We start from the raw sequence: 18669 nt of genomic DNA on the forward strand, positions 1-18669 counted from the left end.
GAAGCAAAGAGAAAGAGAGGAAGGAAGCAAGGAAGGAAGGCAGGAAGGCAGGAAGGAAGGAAGGAAAGAAGGAAGGAAGGGGAGGGGAGGGAGGAAGGAAGGAGGGAGGGAGGGAGCAAGGAAGGAAGAAAGGAAAGAAGGAAAGACACTAGTGAACAAAATAGATGAAGATTCTTGCTTAGTGTCTCCATGCTGTTAAAGGAAGACAAACAATAAATAATAAGAAAATAAATAAGTAGATTATGTAGCATATTAGAAGATACATGATATGGGGGAAAAGCAATAGAATAGGGTAACAGAAAAGAGGGTTGAGGGCTCATGTAGGCTGCAATTTTAAGGAAGGTGGCCATGGGAGGCTTTACTGAATAGATGATATTTGAGCAAAACCTTTTTTTTTTTTTTTTTTTTTTTTTGAGATGGAGTCTCACTCTGTCACCCAGGCTGAAATGCCTTGGTACTATCTCAGCTCACTGCAACCTCCCTCCTGGGTTCAAGCGATTCTCCTGCCTCAGCCTCCCAAGTAGCTGGGACTACAGATGCCCACCACCACGCCCAGCTAATTTTTGTATTTTTAGTAGAGACGGGGTTTCACCATGTTGGCCAGGCTGGTCTCGAACTTCCAATCTGAAGTGACTCACCCTCCTCCGACTCCCAAAGTGCTGGGATTACAGGCGTAAGCCACCACGCTCAGCCTTGAGCAAAAACTTGAAGGAGGTATTCAACAGAATTATGAAAGAAGGAAGAGAGGCCGGCAGGGAGGGAAGAAATGAGGATCATAATTTCCCAATTATCTGTCAATTGCCTAAAGCTGAGCATTAATTCTCTGGGGGCATGTTGGGGGGTGGTCATGCTCTTTCTGCTATATCAGTTTGAATGATATCATTGGAGCATAAACACTGAGAAAATGACAACTGAGGTGAAGAATGTCTGCAAATTACAGAAAGGCATATTGACACACTGAATCTGAAACACCTGGATTCAGAAGTCACCTCAGCCACCTACTAGCTGAGTGACCTCTGGCAAGTCACTCGACCTCTGAGGGGCTCAGTTTCCTACCTGCAGGAAGGCAACAACGGTCCCCTTGCCAATACCTTAGGGATTAGAGGAGATAGCAGAGAGGTCGGGCTCTAGCATAATTCCCGGTGCACGAAGTGCTGCCTTTCTACTTGGGACTCCATTTAGATCCTGTGGCTGCCCAGGGTGCTGTCACCTTCATTCTGACCACCAAAAGCTCGGGAACAATTACTGGCCTCCTCGCTGCAGTCCCAATGCTGTTTCTCTGGCTCTTCAATTAGCACGTGCAATTTCAACACTTCTCCAAATAGGTGATTTTAAATCCATATTCAATAATTTATAGAAATGGATGCTTCCCCCCTCCCCCTTTTTAAGCACTTTAAAGAGATGGCCCATCTCCTGACACTTGACAGAGCTGATGAGCAATCTATCCCACAGCAGAGTGGTTCTACTTTTGTCAGAGCTGGGCCTCCTGGGGAGACCCAGGAGAAAAGAAAGCTTTCTAAAACATTTTAATTGTAAGTGGAGTTCATTAGTTTAGATCCCATTACAATAAATTATCATCTGATGCTTTAAGTCTTAACAAAATGGACACTGCAATGATTAGAGGCCCCTATGTTTGCAGAAAGACCCTATAATAAACCCACACTTGGTGATAACAACAGAAGATTGGTCCTCAACCAAACCAGTTATTTTTCCCTAGAGGTAAAGCCTCCACTTGAAGGTAAAAATAGAAGCCTGCATTTCTTAATTTTCACAGAAGAACCTTAACATTGGCGTCCACTGGCAAATTTAATCGTGGCAGCTGCCTGCTTAAAACCCTCCAGCTTTCATCACACTTTGGAGAGAGTTCCGTCAAAGAATAATGTTGAGAAGATAAAAACCTGGCTTTGAAACTAATATAGAACAAGCATGTGTCAAATATTTAACTGATTAATATATAGAACAAGCATGTGTCAAATATTTAACTGATTAATAAGAGAGCCAGCAGCACGGTAGAGCTGCTTCAAAAAGCATTTGATGACAGGGGTTTCTACAGTCCCCCAGAGAGGGGGTACTGATGTAAAGTTTAATTTATTTGTTCATTTTTTAAGTTAGGAACAAAAATGACTAATGTCCTTCAGGGTGATAAAGCCAAAACCTTTAGGGTTGCCTCCTCTATCACACATAAACCATTTGCATCTCAACAGGACAGCTATTCACAAATTTACATGTAACTTAATAGAGATCAAGTTCAATCAGTAAATAGCAAAATCAAACCAAGGTACAATTCCCATATAGAATTAACTAATCCTTGGGCAGGCCTGGCAAATAATGCTCTAAGCCGACGTGGAAAGAAACTGCAGTCTTCCTTTCTGCCATATTTCTAAGTTTTGGATAAGTTTGCTTGAGTTCTAAATCTTCAACATGGCTAACAAAATCTGCCTGGCTCCTTCCTCGGTCCCCAGCCCCATCTGGTAACTCTGCCCTCCGGTGACAAGTGACAAGTGACAAGTTCCTTCCCAATTCACAGCAGTCACAGCAGCCTGCTTTGTCTGGAATCACAACCCTCCCTTATTCTCCTTAAGATCTCGGCTTAAGTCATTTCCTCGGGGAATTTTCCTAAACATAGACTTGATCAGATTCCCTTGTAAGCACTCTAAGGTGGCTTTCGGCAGGCTCCCCTCCTGGCACATCTTACAACTTGGATGAACCACTTCACTGTGTAATTAGTTGTGAAAGTCTGGCTCCCTAACTGGAATGTAAACTCCCTGAGAGAATGGAGGGCCTGTTTTACTCATCATTGGATACCTGGGGCCCAACAGGAAGGAAGGAAGGAGGAAGGAAGGAAGGAAGGAAGGAAGGAAGGAAGGAAGGAAGGAGAGAGAGAAGGGAGAAAGGAGAAGGGAGGGAAGGAGGGAGGGAGGAAGAAAGAGAGAGGAAGGGAGGAAGGGAGGAAGGGAGGGAGGGTGCTGTCACCCATGCCACCTGTAATCCCAGCACTTTGGGAGGCCAAAACGGGAGGATTGCTTGAGCTCCGGAGTTCAAGACTGGCTTGGTCAACATAGGGAGAGGCCTCATCTCTACTAAAGATTTTTTTAAAAATTTGGCCGGGCGTGGTGGCTCACACCTGTAATCTCAGTACTTTGGGAGGCCGAGGTGGGCGGATCACGAGGTCAAGAGATCGAGACCATCCTGGCCAACATGGTGAAACCCCGTCTCTACTAAAAAATACAAAAAATTAGCCAAGCATGGTGGCATGTGCCTGTATTCCCAGCTACTCAGGAGGCTGAGGCAGGGGAATCTCTTGAACCCGGGAGGCAGAGGTTGCAGTGAGCTGGGATCGCACCACTGCACTCTAGCCTGGCAACAGAGGGAGACTCTGTCTCAAAAAATATATATATATATATTAGCCAGGCATGGTGGCACATGCCTGTTGCCCCAGCTACTCATGAGGTTAAGGTGGGAGGATCGCTTAAGCCTGGGAGGTCCAGGCTGCAGTGGGCTGTGATCATGCACTGCACCCCAGAGTGAGATCCTGTCTGGAAAAAAAAAATAGAAAAAGAAAAAGAAGGAAAGGAGTAAGAGGTGTGGCATTCTTGGCTCTACAGGACACAGAATTTCTGCACTTGGGGCTCTCACTGTGCCCAGTTCTGGCCAAGAGCCTGGCAGAGCCATCTGTGTTCCAGGAAGCTCATATGAACACAGGCTACCCAGTCCTTGCAACGCCAGAGGGGTGGGGCCTGCACGCCCATGGCCGAGGGCTACATTCACCCTCACCACGTTTTGTTTGGCTCTTGGAATTTAAATTCATTGTCAACAGTCATGTTTTAATAGTCCAGACTTTCCAGTTCCTGGTAGAATATCATTAGGCCCAAGAGGCACCACTTGGCTACCACCAAGGAGCAGCTATTTCTCAAGTTCCCCCTGCTGACAGAGATGGATTGTCAGCTGCCCTTTATCCTGATGTTTTCCTCACACCCAACCCACTCCACACCCCTCTCCCCAGTCCTGTAGGTAAACCCTGAGTTTTTTACCACGGCACTGAGGTCTCCAAGAGCCAATGAGGTCATCGAAAGAAAACATAATGAGCATGACTTTGGTTCCCCCTCAAACACACCCTGCCTACCCTTGCACTGAAATTTAATAATGTCCCCTCTACTTTCAGAATTCACCAGGAGGGACTCCCCACACATTGTGAAAAACTTAATCATCTCAGAAATCTAAATTCAACTGTTGCTGAATGAGTCATTTATTGTATTTCTTAGTCCCCTTCCACATAGAAACCTAAAGAATGTCCTCTCAGCTTTCATGGAAGAAAATGCTTCTCTCTCCTCGTGATCTGCTGTGCCTTATTTTATTAGCCAATCAGAACTCAGATGCTTATTCGTTGTTTTCTTTCTTTCCTTTTTTTTCTTTTTTTTAAAGCTTTGGCTACCACAAAGCTCAGAGCTAAATTCTGAGCTTGCTTCTAGGTACATTCATTCTTTAGTTTCTGGTTTTCTGGCAACTTAGATCCTTTGTTTACTCTTCCCTCATTCCCCTCTTTGAGAATTATTTCTCCCTGCCCAGAGCCCCATCCTTACTTTTTTTTTTTTTTTTTTTTTGAGACAACATCTCACTCCGTCACACAGGCTGGAGTGCAGTGGCATGATCTCGGCTCTCTGCAAGCTTCGCCTCCTGGGTTCAAGTGATTCTCCTGCCTCAGCCTCCCGAGTAGCTGGGACTACAGGCGCCTGCCACCACACTCGGCTAATTTTTATATTTTTATTAGAGAAGGGGTTTCACCACGTTGGCCAGGCTGGTCTCGAACTCCTGATCTCACGTGATCCGCCCACCTCGGACTCCCAAAGTGCTGGCATTGAAGGCCTGAGCCACCGTGCCCAGCCCCCATCCTTACTTAAGAACAACTAGGAGGTGGAGTGTGACTCAATTCCACCCTGGCCATAGCTGATTGGTCCAGGAGTGGACTCCTGGCTCAAGCCAGTTCCTGAGTCCTTACCTGAGGCGTGTTGGCACTGAGAGATGAGTCACCCTTGAGATGCCAGACTACAGAAGTCAATTTCACAAATTTCAGGAGTAGTCGGCAGCTGTGTTCCACAACATGGACTGGGTCACAAACAGTATAAAGAAAACCGGCAATGGGGATGGAGAAATCGCCCTCCCAGTTTCAAGCCCAGCTCTGTTCCTCCCCCTGGCTTCCCTGAGACACTGTTGCTGTTCTTTAATATATCCCTCCTTTTGTTTAAGCTACCTTGAGTTGGGTTTCTAAACTTGTTTTTTTTTTTGAGACGGCGTCTCACTCTGTTGCCCAGGCTGGAGTGCAGTGGCGCGATCTCGGCTCACTGCAAGCTCCGCCTCCCGGGTTCACGCCATTCTCCTGCCTCAGCCTCCCGAGTAGCTGGGACTACAGGCGCTTACCACCATGCCCAGCTAATTTTTTTTGTATTTTTAGTAGAGACAGGGTTTCACCTTGTTAGCCAGGATGGTTTCGGTCTCCTGACCTCGTGATCCGCCCGCCTTGGCCTCCCAAAGTGCTGGGATTACAGGCGTGAGCCACCGCACCCAGCTGGGTTTCTAAACTTTTTAACTGGTAACGGAAACTATGTTGTTTGCTGTTTGAAGTCCTCAAAAAACCGGGTGCGGTGGCTCACGCCTGTAATCCCAGCATGGTGGGAGGCCAAGGTGGGCGGATTGCTTGACTTCAGGAGTTCAAGACCAGCCTGGGCAACATAGCAAAAAGCCATCTCTACAAAAAATACAAAAATTGGCAGAGCAAGATGGCATGCACCTGTGTTCTCAGTTACTCAGGAGGCTAAGGTGGAAGGATTAGTTGCACCCAGGGAGGTCGAGGCGGTAGTGAGCCGTGATGGTACCACTGCCCTCTAGCCTGGTGGCAGAGCAAGACCTCTGTCTCAAGTAAATACATAAATAAATCCTCAAAAATAAAAATTGAACACTGCACCACGCACACTCAGGCTTTATTCAGCCTCTCCAAACTGGCCTCTGCACTCTCTTCCCTCATTCTCCTCCAGCATGGCAGCCTCCTTGCTATCCTCCTGATTCTCTGAGCTCCCATGCAGCCCAGGGCCTTTGCACTTGCTGCTCGCTCTGTGGAAAGTTCTCATCCTGGGGCCTCACAGGGCTGCTTCTTTCTTGTCCCCTCATCTCCTCAGAGAGGCCTTTCCCAACCGCACATCCTGGAGTTGCCCCCACCCCACTCCTCCGTTTCACTTCGTCCTGCTCATTTTCTTCACCATCTTTATCACTCTGAAATTATCTTAATGACTTGCTTGTTTACCTATGCCAGGTGTACACGCACACACTCAAATCTAACCTCTATGAAGTCACAGCTGTAAGCCCAGCCACGAGCACAGTGCCTGGGACACCGGAGGTACTCAGTAGATGCTTGTTGAATGAATAAATGTTCTTTGCAGTACAGAGTCCAAGTAATACCTCAGGTGTCAACCTCACATGGTTCTTGAGTTCCTCAGTATTTGTTTTACTGCTCTTTGTCTGTCCTGGCTGTTAGACTCCCCAGAGCCTTTCTGGAATGGGCAGAAGAAAAAAATAAGAGAATTTACTTAACAAATACTATGTACTAGGTATGTTTCTAAGCACTTTACGCATATTATTTAACCCTCCCAACAATCGTGTGAGGGCTAATAACGTAATATGATAGCTGGGTGGGGTGATGCAGCTATAGTCCCAGCTACTCAGGAGGCCAAGGCAGGAGGATTGCTTGAGCCCCAGAGTTTGAGACCAGCCTGAGAAAAACATTAAGATCCAGTCTCTACCAAAAAGAAATGTAGTACTATTATCACCATATGTTACAGATAAAGAAACTGAGGCACCAGGAGTGAAGTCACTGTTCCAAGGCCACCAGCCTATAAAGGCATAGCAAAGACTCCCGCCCAGGGAGTCAGATTTTAAGCCTGGGCCTGTGACCTCTCAGCCAGGCCGCCTCCCAGGCAAGTGGGAAAAGCACGTCCTCACTTCTTGGGCAGGGCAGTAAGATATGTATCTCTCATGCTTACGTTAGGCCCTTTCTTTTTTTTTTGGAGACAGAGACCAGCTCTGTCGCCCAGGTTGAGATCAGCAATGGCGTGATCTTGGCTCACTGCAACCTCTGCCTCCCAGGCTCAAGCAATTCTCCTGCCTCAGCCTCTGGAGTAGCTGAGATTACAGGTGCATGCCACCACGTCAGCTAATTTTTGTATTTTTAGTAGCAACGGGGTTTTGCCATGTTGGCCAGGCTGGTCTCGAACTCCTGACCTCAGGTGATCTGCCCACCTCTGCCTCCCAAAGTGCTGGGATTACAGGTGTGAGCCACCACGCCGGGCCACATTTGGGCTTTTGGGCTGAATACAGGAAAGCGGTGCTCATTCCAGCACAAGCTCAGGGCGAAGCTCATCTGATGAGGACCATGACAGATTGCAGTGAGACACCTCGGGATGATTGAGGGCTTTCTCTAATCACACCAATTGATATCAATTACTGCGTCGGCCCCCTGAGAGCATCCCTGGGATTTCCACCTCATTAGATCATTGGTGCCAAATGAAGCAACAGGGTTCTGCGCCTCCTTCGGAGCTATTTGTGTTATAGGCAAAAATCGTAAAGGGTAACTGGAAAGGCACATCAGAAAGCCTCCAAGGAGCAGCAGCAGTCTAGTCAGAGGAACAGAGACTAAAACAGTCACAATTTAGTGCTGGAGGTTTCTGATTTCAGTCAACTCTTGACATCTCTGCCAAACTCCTGCTCCAGTTCTTACTGAAGTCTGCTATGTAGCCCCAGAACAAGCAAAACCATGGAACCAGGGGGTCCACGAAGGGCCATGGAGGCGGGGCTGTGAGTTCTGGGGCTTGGGGATTCAGCAATAGCAAGAATTCAGCTTTGTTGGGGACAATGCCAAGGGGGGTTTGAGGCTCCCCGTAGTTTCCACCCGTCACCCCCAATCAGTAAACCATACACAAACATGGCTTCAAAGCAGCCCCACCCCATGCGGCTGCCCCCTCCCAAGCCTCACCACCCAACCTCGTGCAGTTCCAAGGCAGCCACTCCTGCTCTTGCCAAACAACCCTCCGGAGGTCTACAGGATAAAAACAGGAAGGCAAGAAGCCAGGACACGTGGATTTCCTTATTGGCTTCTAAAGACAAAGGGGAGGAAGAGAAAGAGGCAGAAAGTGAAGAGAAGCCAAAGGAAATGGCCACACATCAGAGCTAGGAACAGATCCCAGACTTGATTATAAAGTCCTGAGGTTTCCTGGGATGGTGTTTGAGCAGAATGCGTTTTTGTTTTGTTTTCAGAAGCGTTTTGTTTTGTTTTCAATCGCAAGTCAGCCTTTGGGAGGGCAACGGTACAGGTGGATGCCTAAATTCATACCTCAGCTAATGAAACAGTGGAGAAGAGGCACAGACAATCTCTTGAGCCTGTTGAATCCAGAAGGACAGAAGTCTTGGTAACGGTGTCAGGCTCACCTTGTGGGTAGTGGGATGGGTGCTGTTGCCATTCTGACCAGATCACCTCCGCTCACACCTGCAACCAACACGGCTCATCAGCACACACATGCCACCCAAGCAGTTCATCAGGCACAACCCTGATCCTTCAGGAGGGCATTACTCTGGCCATGAGAGTGCACTCAGCCTGCGTGAAGAGCAAGCCGTGGAGTCCCTGGAAGCAGCCATCACCAAAGATGGGGCACTGGGATAATTTAGGGGCATGTTCCCTACTGTTCCCCAGGGCTCTCCAGTGGGACTGTGGTCTAGTTGTCCACGATGGCAACACACGGTGAATGCTTTGCTTCCCCTCCCTGTCTTACTTCCCTACTCTCTTACCAGTACTTCCTGGAGTCACCTCCCAAACAAAAGGATTTGCACTGCAATATCTGCCTCGGAGTCTGCTTCCAGGAAAACCCAAAGCAAGGCGGTGCTTTTGTGCAATTTATTAAGAGGAACCCCTCTGGGTTGATGGGGCTTCAGGGGTGCAGAGCCTGGCAAGCAACCCTTTCCTGTCAGTCTGACGAATTCCCACACCACGTACCAACAGGTAGGTGACATGTGGGCTCGATTTCAGCCTCACCTGACTCCTCTGAGGGGCATCTTTGCCCTGCACTAGAGGCCCGAGGCAGCTATAGACACATCCACCACTTCTGTCTTCTTGGCTTTGGACAGAAACAGTTAATCTGAAAGGAGCAACAAGTCTACATCTGAGGCATACCAGAAATTCCACCAACAGACTCTGAACCCTCCTGAAAATTCAGGGAGGGAGAAGAGCATGGAAGCCAACAGTGCAGAGTTTGGGGTGCGGCTGCTCTGAAGTCAAATCTGCCTCTACCACTTCCTTGCCGTGTGACTTGGGGTAAAGTATTTCACCTGTCTGGAGCTTCCATTGCCTCACCTGGAAAAGGGATGCAATTGCTTGAGGCACAAGTTAGGAAGCAAATCAACAGCATAGATGCAGTGCCTGGAGATCAGAAGGTGCCCTTTCAGTGTAAGTCCCTCCTCATTCTTCCCCCAAATGGCCTGAGGGGTTCACTACAGGGCCACGCCCAAGTGGGACCCAGAAGCAGAAGCCTCTGAGGCTCCTTGACGCTCAGAACCAGGTCAGTGCCATGCTGTTGTTGGATTCTCGCTGCTACTGAGAGCCCAGATATAAAATGTTAATGTGCAAGGAAGCCAGCCGACCAGGTGACGGTGACAAACCTCACGTCCCATCTGTTCTTCCCCTCCCTCCACTCCAGGTTGGGCACGAAAAACAACTCCGTGATTCCTCTTTGCTGAGTAAACTGATGCGTGAATGAACAAATAAACCTCTGAGAGATTCCAATGCCAGGGGAGGCCCCGAGCTTTTATCTTGTGACTTGTGTGCCAGGAGCATAAATAGTCACGGTTGCCCCTGGATTCGTTAGTGGCTCCTATTGGGTTTTGAGCCACCCCAGGCTTTCCTCACCTGGAGGTGCTGATTTCAACGTGAGTCACAGGCCTCCGAACTTAAGCACAGACCCTGCTGAGCTGATTATTCCACCCTAGAGAAATCGCCAATGTGACCTGTGAGAATGAAGATTCTTGGAGCCTGGGGCCGCTGCTCGTGCTGCCTCCAGCCTCCTGATCGACCAGTCCAGATAAGGCTGCATTACCCACCAGGAAACACACGCCTATAGCCACAAATTCCAGGTCTTGCAAACACATTGAGGACCAGGAAAAAAATAAAAGGCATTGGCTCGAAATAAAGAAAAAGATGCAAAATTGAAATGAAGAAATGCTTAATTAAATGTCTAAAAAACACTAGGTCCACTTTGTTCATTAAGTTTGTTTTCATTAAAATCTTATTACATCTAAACACAATTTATGGGTTGGTTCCCTCACTTTGTAATAACTCCTGAGTTTGCATGAGAAAGCACAGCCAATAGCATTATACAGTGAAGGAATTACTACTCATAGCCAAGTAAGTTCAAAAGCAAAATTCCACAAATTATTTTTTTATTTTTAATTTTCAAATTAAATTTTATTTTATTTTATTTATTTATTTTTGAGACGGAGTCTCACTGTCGCCCAGGCTGGAGTGCAGTGGCGCGATCTCGTCTCACTGCAGGCTCTGCCCCCCGGGGTTCACGCCATTCTCCTGCCTCGGCCTCCCGAGTAGCTGGGACTACAGGCGCCCGCCACCTCACCAGGCTAATTTTTTGTATTTTTAGTAGAGACGGGGTTTCACCGTGTTAGCCAGGATGGTCTCGATCTCCTGACCTCGTGATCCGCCTGCCTCGGCTTCCCAAAGTGCTGGAATTACAGGCGTGAGCCACCGTGCCCGGCCCTAAATTTTATTTTTTTAGAGACAGGGTCTCACTGTTGCCCAGGCTGGGGCACAGTGATGCAATCATAACTCACTGTAGCCCTGAACTCCTGGGTTCAAGTGATCCTCCCACCTCAGCCTCCCGAGTAGCTGGGACTACAGACATGTGTCACCACACCTGGATAATTTTTTATTTTGTGTAGAGATGGGGTATCACTATGTTGTGCAGGCTGATCTTGAATTCCTGGCCTCAAGTGATCCCCTGCCTCAGCCTCCCAAAGTGCTGAGATTACAGGCATAAGCCACTGTGCCAGGTTTAAAAATTCTTTAAAATGTATTTACATTAACAAACATATGATATAGGTACACTGGATACTTGATATATAATGTGGGAGAGGCTTCTAAAAGGAACCAGAGCCAACGGACATCTTAAAATGCCTCTGCTGTAGGGCCATGTGACTGTTATTGGTTCTTGGGGAACTCTTTACTAGGAAGTCCCTACTTTTCTCTCCTGGAGATGCCGATTTCTCCTGGGAAGTCAGTCACTGGCCACTACAGATACATACAAATAATGCCTATTATTTCAGTGGACGAAAATGGCCCTTTCATCTCTTAGAATTAAGACACTTCATGACCAGCAGTACACACACCTTCATCCAGCCTCTTGTCAATGTCAAATGTGTCAATCTCTCTCTCTCTCTCTCTCTTCCTCCCTTCTTCCTTCCATGTCTGCTTTCTGGTATATGCAATTTCTTTTCCAGAAAGGTTTTCCTCACATAGATACAAAGATAATCATCCTCTGAAAAATGGCTTCCTTCCAGCTTACCAACTCAGAAAAAGTATCATTTCTAGTAGCTCTGGCCAAAGCCCCAAGAGGACTTTGATTGACTAGGCTTGAGACACCTGCTTATTGCTGAACCAATCACTGTGGCCAGAAGAACAGGGTACTCTGATTGGCCAGACCTGAGCCATGGGACCACCCCTGTGGTGGGATTCGGGGTAGTATCAGCCTCATTCCTCTTGTCCCAGCTTTCTGCACAGCCTCCCCCAGGAGGGCATGGAAACCCCAGAAGCCATGGGCCAGGCATCCAAAATGCTACTGGATAGGTATTCACAAACCCCTTCTCTTAAACCAGGGATTGGCAACCTTTTTCTGTAAAGGTCCAGATGGTACAATATTCTAAGTTTTATGGACCAAGGGGCAGAATCAAGGCTATTAGGTAAGTACCTACATAACAAAAGAGAAAAGACATTTCCATAAATTCTTTTCAATCATTAAAAAGTTTTTTTAAAAAATCCTCAGTTTGGGCTGGGCGCGGTGGCACATGCCTGTAATCCTAGCACTTTGGGAGGCCGAGACAGATGGATCACTTGAGGTCAGGAGTTTGAAACCAGCCTGGCCAACATGGTGAAACCCCATCTATACTAAAATTACAAGAAAACTAGGCAGGAATGGTGGCAGGCACCTGTAATCCCAGCTACTTGGGAGGCTGAGGCAAGAGAATTGCTTGAACCCAGGAGGCAGAGGTTGTAGTGAGCCGAGATTGTGCCACTGCACTCCAGCCTGGGTGACAGAGTGAGACTCCGTTTCAAAAAAAAAAAAAAGAAATTAAAAGATCCTCAGTTTGCAGGCTATACAAAAACAGGCAGTGGGATGGATATGGCCTCAGTGCCCTGGTTTGCTGACTCCTGCACTAATCTCTTTCCACTTTCCAAAGTGCAAAAAGCCACAGGGAAAGCATCATCCTCCCAGAGCATCCACTACCAATGTGCCAGTTATGGGGGCTACTTACATCTTCTGATCCTGATTCTCAAAGGCTGCGTCCTGTGAGCACAGCCACCTCAGAAAGGCCCTTCTTCCCTGGAAGCCACTTCCCACCCCCATTCAGGCTTCGGAGGGCCTCTCCAGAGCAAGAGGTAGGCAAAGGCCATTAGCCACAGGTCACCAGGGAAATCCCCTCACTGAGCGCTTTCCTTGGATTTTTGTTTTCATGCCACTTCAAGGAGCAAGCAGATTGTAAATACACACTTTAAAATCTCCCGGGCTCACTGCATCATCTCTCCAATTAAGGCTCAGGGCAGCCATGTCTTCACTGGGAGGAAGCCCCGTGCAGGCCTGGCTTGGAGGTGCCCTGGGCAGCTTCCAGGCCTAGGGAGATGCCAGCAGTGCCGGCATTGTTTGAGACTCAGCACCCAGCCACCCCTAAAGCTCCTTCCACCCTGGACCTTCAGTCATGCAAGCCAGTAAAATGCCTGCCTGCCTGCCTGCCTGCCTGCCTGCCTGCCTGCCTGCCTTCCTTCCTTCCTTCCTTCCTTCCTTCCTTCCTTCCTCTCTCTCTCTCTTTAGCTGAATTGGGCAGAGTTCAGTTACTTGTATCCAAACACATTCTGAGCAATATATGGGCTTTACCAGGTACTTTGGAACCTTGGATTTCTCCCCTTGGTACCCACAACCCCTGCCATGTAACTTTCAGTGCCCTCTCACTCTGACTCTGGACTCCAAGTGACTTGCTTTGGCCAATAGCATGTTTGCAAACATTATGTAGACACAGTGGGACTTGTATTGTCTTTAGTAGCTCTTGGAGCTCCTCCAAGCCCATATAACAGTCCCAGTCTGGGCCACTACATGATGATAGACATATAGAGCCAAGATGAGCCTTCCCATCCTCTTGACCAACAAGCCTCGAGCTAGGATGGCTGGAAGCCAACTGTAGGCACATGAATGATCACAGCAGAGGCCAGCGGAAGAACCGCCCCCACTGAGCCCAGCCCACAGAATTATGAGATAAACAAATGGTAGGTGTTTTAAAGGGGACAGATGGGTGCTGGGTTTGTCGGGGAATAATTCACACCCTCAGAAAGCCCTGCTGATACTTGGCACCAAGGAAGGATTCTTTCTAAGCCTGGCCACGGTGCAGATGGGTGGGGGTGCTGAGCAGAGGCCAGGAGAGCTTGAAAGGAGGAGGAGGAGAGAGGTGGGGTGGAGCCCAGTGCACAGACTGTGCTCCCAGTACACTCAACGGGCATCTCTAGCAACCCCTGAGCTGCCCTCCCAGGCTGGGCAGCAATGGATGAGACATTATCAACATGGCAAGCCATGCAGCCCAGCTCCCAGGGCACTGTTGACTGGGACATCTCTCCCTTCCTTCTCACAAAGCTTTGTTCCTGGATCCCTTCCACCTCCCATTCCAACCAGCACCTAGGAAACCACTGCCAGTCCCATCTCACAGAATCACAGTCACAGAAATACAGAACTCAATTCAAAAAGCATGGATTGAGTCTCTATGATGTGCTAGGCACCACTCTGGTGCAGGGGATACAACCTAAACAAAATAATGAAAAAAAACCAAATTCTCATGAGGTTTACATTCTATCAGATAGAGTCACTAGAAACCAGTATGGTCTAGTCTCCCCTGGAGGAAGAAAAAGTATAAGGGCTCGAGCTCCAGCCCCAAGCCTAGCACTGTGCTGAGAGCTTTAGGTGTCTCACTTTATTCCCTCCCCCTTGAGAATCCTTGAAAGAAAGGATTATCACCCACATTTCACAGACATATAAATTGAAGCCCGGGAACATTTAATAAGACACCCAAGGTCACAGAGCTGGTAGGCGGTAAATCCCAACCTGCCTTCAAAGCAGGCGAAGTGTGTCCTTCATGAAGCCTCCCCATTTCTGTAGGCCACAGTAATAGTCTCCCTTTAAAATAAAATGTAAGTTTAGTTGCCAATGCCAACACTTAATGACGTGGTGCACTTAGGCAAGGGACTCAGTTTTCTCATCTGCAAAATGGGATTGATAGTACCCATCTTCCTGGGTTGTAGTCAGGACTAGATATCAGGCCTGAATGGGCTGATCACTTGAGCCCAGGAGTTCAACCAGCCTAGGCAACATGGCAAAACCCAATCTCTACCAAAAATACAAAAATTAGGCACAGTGTGTGCCTGTAGTCCTAGCTACTCAGAAGGCTGAGGTGGGAGGATGATTTGAGCCCAGGAACAGAGGTTGCAGTGAGCCGAGATCTTGCCACTGCACTCCAGCCTGGGTGACACAGCGAGACTCTGTCTCAAAAAACAAAAAAAGATATCAGGCCTGTAAAGCCCCTTGTCCAGAGCCTGGTGCTAAGTGTGTGTTCACAAATGCAAGCCATCATTTTTATTTTATTTATTTATTTATTTATATTGAGATGGAGTCTCGCTCTGTTGCCCAGGCTGGAGTGCAGTGATGTGATCTCGACTCACTACAACCTCTGTCTCCCAGGTTCGGTGATTCTCCTGCTTCAGCCTCCCAAGCAGCTGGGATTACAGGAGCATGCCACCATGCCCAGCTAATTTTTGTATTTTTAGTAGAGACAGGGTTTCATCATGTTGGCCAGGCTGGTCTCTATTTCCTGACCTGAAGTGATCCGCCCACCTCAGCCTCCCAAAGTGCTGGGATTGCAGGCGTGAGCCACTGAGCCCGGCCTACAGTAAGCCATCATTAATAGTAGTAGTAGTCATACCTTTAGTATTTGACATGAACAACCTCACATAAAGAGAAAATGGTACATTGCATCTAGCAATTCACCCCTAATAAATGAGAATGAAAGTGTACTAAGTCAGACCTATAGAAGAAAAACATGGTTGCTGTGAACATTATGAATACAGTAGGTGCTCAATATGCTATTGCATTTTGAGAGCACTGAATCCTAACCAGTAGACCACCAGGGATCGTCGCACTATTGCATTTTAACTCTTACTGTCATGCCTTTACGACACAAGTAAGAGGAATTCTACATTTTCACAGATGTACCTGATCCCCTCATCCTAGAGACAACATTTGTGCCGGCCATGATCCCTGCAGTAGGAGCTGCCCAGTATGGCTGTGGAATGGGAGTGCCAGGCGTGGATTTCTCAGTGGGGTTCCTGCCAAGGAATTCAGTATGTGTTCCAGACTGCTTGTTTAAGTGTTGGTGTTCTAGAACTGTGGTTGTTTTAAGCTTGGGCAATATTTCAATACTACGGTGCTTTGTTTTTCTTATACACTAAAAGTGCCAGCAAGTGATAAGCTGCTCTCCTTTAGAGCCTTTCATAATCCTTTTTTCACCTTTTGCCTATGGATCAGCTTTTGCTGCCTAACATATCACCCCAAAACTTAGTGCTTTAAAACACCTACCATTTGTTTATCTCATAATTCTGTGGGCTGGGCTCAGTGGGGGCGGTTCTTCCGCTGGCCTCTGCTGTGATCATTCATGTGCCTACAGTTGGCTTCCAGCCATCCTAGCTCGAGGCTTGTTGGTCAAGAGGATGGGAAGGCTCATCTTGGCTCTATATGTCTATCATCATGTAGTGGCCCAGACTGGGACTGTTATATGGGCTTGGAGGAGCTCCAAGGGCTACTAAAGACAATACAAGTCCCACTGTGTCTACATAATGTTTGCAAACATGCTATTGGCCAAAGCAAGTCACTTGGAGTCCAGAGTCAGAGTGAGAGGGCACTGAAAGTTACATGGCAGGGGTTGTGGGTACCAAGGGGAGAAATCCAAGGTTCCAAAGTACCTGGTAAAGCCCATATATTGCTCAGAATGTGTTTGGATACAAGTAACTGAACTCTGCCCAATTCAGCTAAAGAGAGAGAGAGAGGAAGGAAGGAAGGAAGGAAGGAAGGAAGGAAGGAAGGAAGGCAGGCAGGCAGGCAGGCAGGCAGGCAGGCAGGCAGGCAGGCAGGCATTTTACTGGCTTGCATGACTGAAGGTCCAGGGTGGAAGGAGCTTTAGGGGTGGCTGGGTGCTGAGTCTCAAACAATGTCAAATGTGTCAATCTCTCTCTCTCTCTCTCTTCCTCCCTTCTTCCTTCCATGTCTGCTTTCTGGTATATGCAATTTCTTTTCCAGAAAGGTTTTCCTCACATAGATACAAAGATAATCATCCTCTGAATAATGGCTTCCTTCCAGCTTACCAACTCAGAAAAAGTATCATTTCTAGTAGCTCTGGCCAAAGCCCCAAGAGGACTTTGATTGACTAGGCTTGAGACACCTGCTTATTGCTGAACCAATCACTGTGGCCAGAAGAACAGGGTACTCTGATTGGCCAGACCTGAGCCATGGGACCACCCCTGTGGTGGGATTCGGGGTAGTATCAGCCTCATTCCTCTTGTCCCAGCTTTCTGCACAGCCTCCCCCAGGAGGGCATGGAAACCCCAGAAGCCATGGGCCAGGCATCCAAAATGCTACTGGATAGGTATTCACAAACCCCTTCTCTTAAACCAGGGATTGGCAACCTTTTTCTGTAAAGGTCCAGATGGTACAATATTCTAAGTTTTATGGACCAAGGGGCAGAATCAAGGCTATTAGGTAAGTACCTACATAACAAAAGAGAAAAGACATCTCCATAAATTCTTTTCAATCATTAAAAATTTTTTTAAAAAAATCCTCAGTTTGGGCTGGGCACGGTGGCACATGCCTGTAATCCTAGCACTTTGGGAGGCCGAGACAGATGGATCACTTGAGGTCAGGAGTTTGAAACCAGCCTGGCCAACATGGTGAAACCCCATCTATACTAAAATTACAAGAAAACTAGGCAGGAATGGTGGCAGGCACCTGTAATCCCAGCTACTTGGGAGGCTGAGGCAAGAGAATTGCTTGAACCCAGGAGGCAGAAGTTGTAGTGAGCCGAGATTGTGCCACTGCACTCCAGCCTGGGTGACAGAGTGAGACTCCGTTTCAAAAAAAAAAAAAAAAAGAAATTAAAAGATCCTCAGTTTGCAGGCTATACAAAAACAGGCAGTGGGATGGATATGGCCTCAGTGCCCTGGTTTGCTGACTCCTGCACTAATCTCTTTCCACTTTCCGAAGTGCAAAAAGCCACAGGGAAAGCAGAGTTTATACTGGGAAGGAAATCTAAGGGTACTGTAGGGTTAGGCCGGGGGTGGTGGCTCATGCCTGTAATCCTAGCACTTTGGGAGGCTGAGGTGGGTGGATTGCCTAAGCTCAGGAGTTCGAGACCAGCTGGCCTAACATAATGAAACCCCATCTCTACTAAAAATAAAAAAATAAAAATATTAGCCGGGTGTGCTGGGGTGCATCTGTAGTCCTAGCTACTCAGGAGACTGAGGCATGAGAATTGCTTGAACCCAGGAGGTAGAGGTTGCAGTGAGCTGAGATCGTGCCACTGTACTCCAGCCTGGGCGACAAAGCAAGATTCTGTCTCCCAAAAAAGAAAAAATAATAATTAATTAATTAAAAAGGTACTGTAGGGTTAAAACCACAGCCACGGAAGGGGAGAAGGAGAGGAGAGGCAGGAACCCTCTGAAGGCAGAGTCTGAAGGAGAACTGGGGAAATTTGGAAGGGGAAAGATGCATCTTTGGGGGCAGTGGCTAGGATAAGAGAGTAAGAGAATGAAAGAAAGAAAAAGAAGATTTTTACAATGCAGCTGTCCCTCAATATCTGCAAGCGATTGGTTCCAGGACCCCCAGGATACCAAAATTTGCCAATGCTCAAGTCCCTGATAAAAATTGGCATAGAAGTTGCATATAACCTATGTGCATCCTCCTATATACTTCCAGTCATCGCTAGATTACTTATAATACCTAATACAATGTAAGTGCTATGGAAATAGTTGTTACACGGTACTGTTTAGGGAATAATGACACGAAAAAAAGTCTGTGAATGTTCAGTATGGAATTATCCTTTTTATTTTTTCTGAGTGGTTTTCCACCCACAGCTGGCTGAATCCAGGAACGTGGAACCCATGGATATGGAGGGCCAGCTGTATTGGCTGTGCCTTACAAATGAAGTGCACCAGAGGCTACAATAAATATTCAATTGCTTTTCAATTACTATGGATAGTGAATTGAGTTCTCCCTTTTTCTTAATGTGACACAATGCTGATCTGGGCCCACAAGTGGATGTGTC

The 18669-nt window shown here is 47.5% G+C and overlaps 1 protein-coding gene across 1 annotated transcript in view; it reads right to left on the reverse strand.

The window, feature by feature from the left end:
* Positions 1-5958: 5958 nt before the first annotated feature.
* Positions 5959-18669, reverse strand: part of SHQ1 (SHQ1, H/ACA ribonucleoprotein assembly factor) — a 123174-nt gene continuing 110463 nt past the window's right edge. Inside the window, exons 11-12 of the transcript XR_001740192.3 lie at positions 8378-8530; positions 5959-6542 (exon numbers count right to left, since the gene is read on the reverse strand). The gene's annotated coding sequence lies outside the window, so the exon portion shown is untranslated. The remainder of the gene's footprint in view (positions 6543-8377; positions 8531-18669) is intronic.

Source organism: Homo sapiens, chromosome 3 (assembly GCF_000001405.40).
Source record: "Homo sapiens chromosome 3, GRCh38.p14 Primary Assembly".
Taxonomy (NCBI): Eukaryota; Metazoa; Chordata; class Mammalia; order Primates; family Hominidae; genus Homo; species Homo sapiens.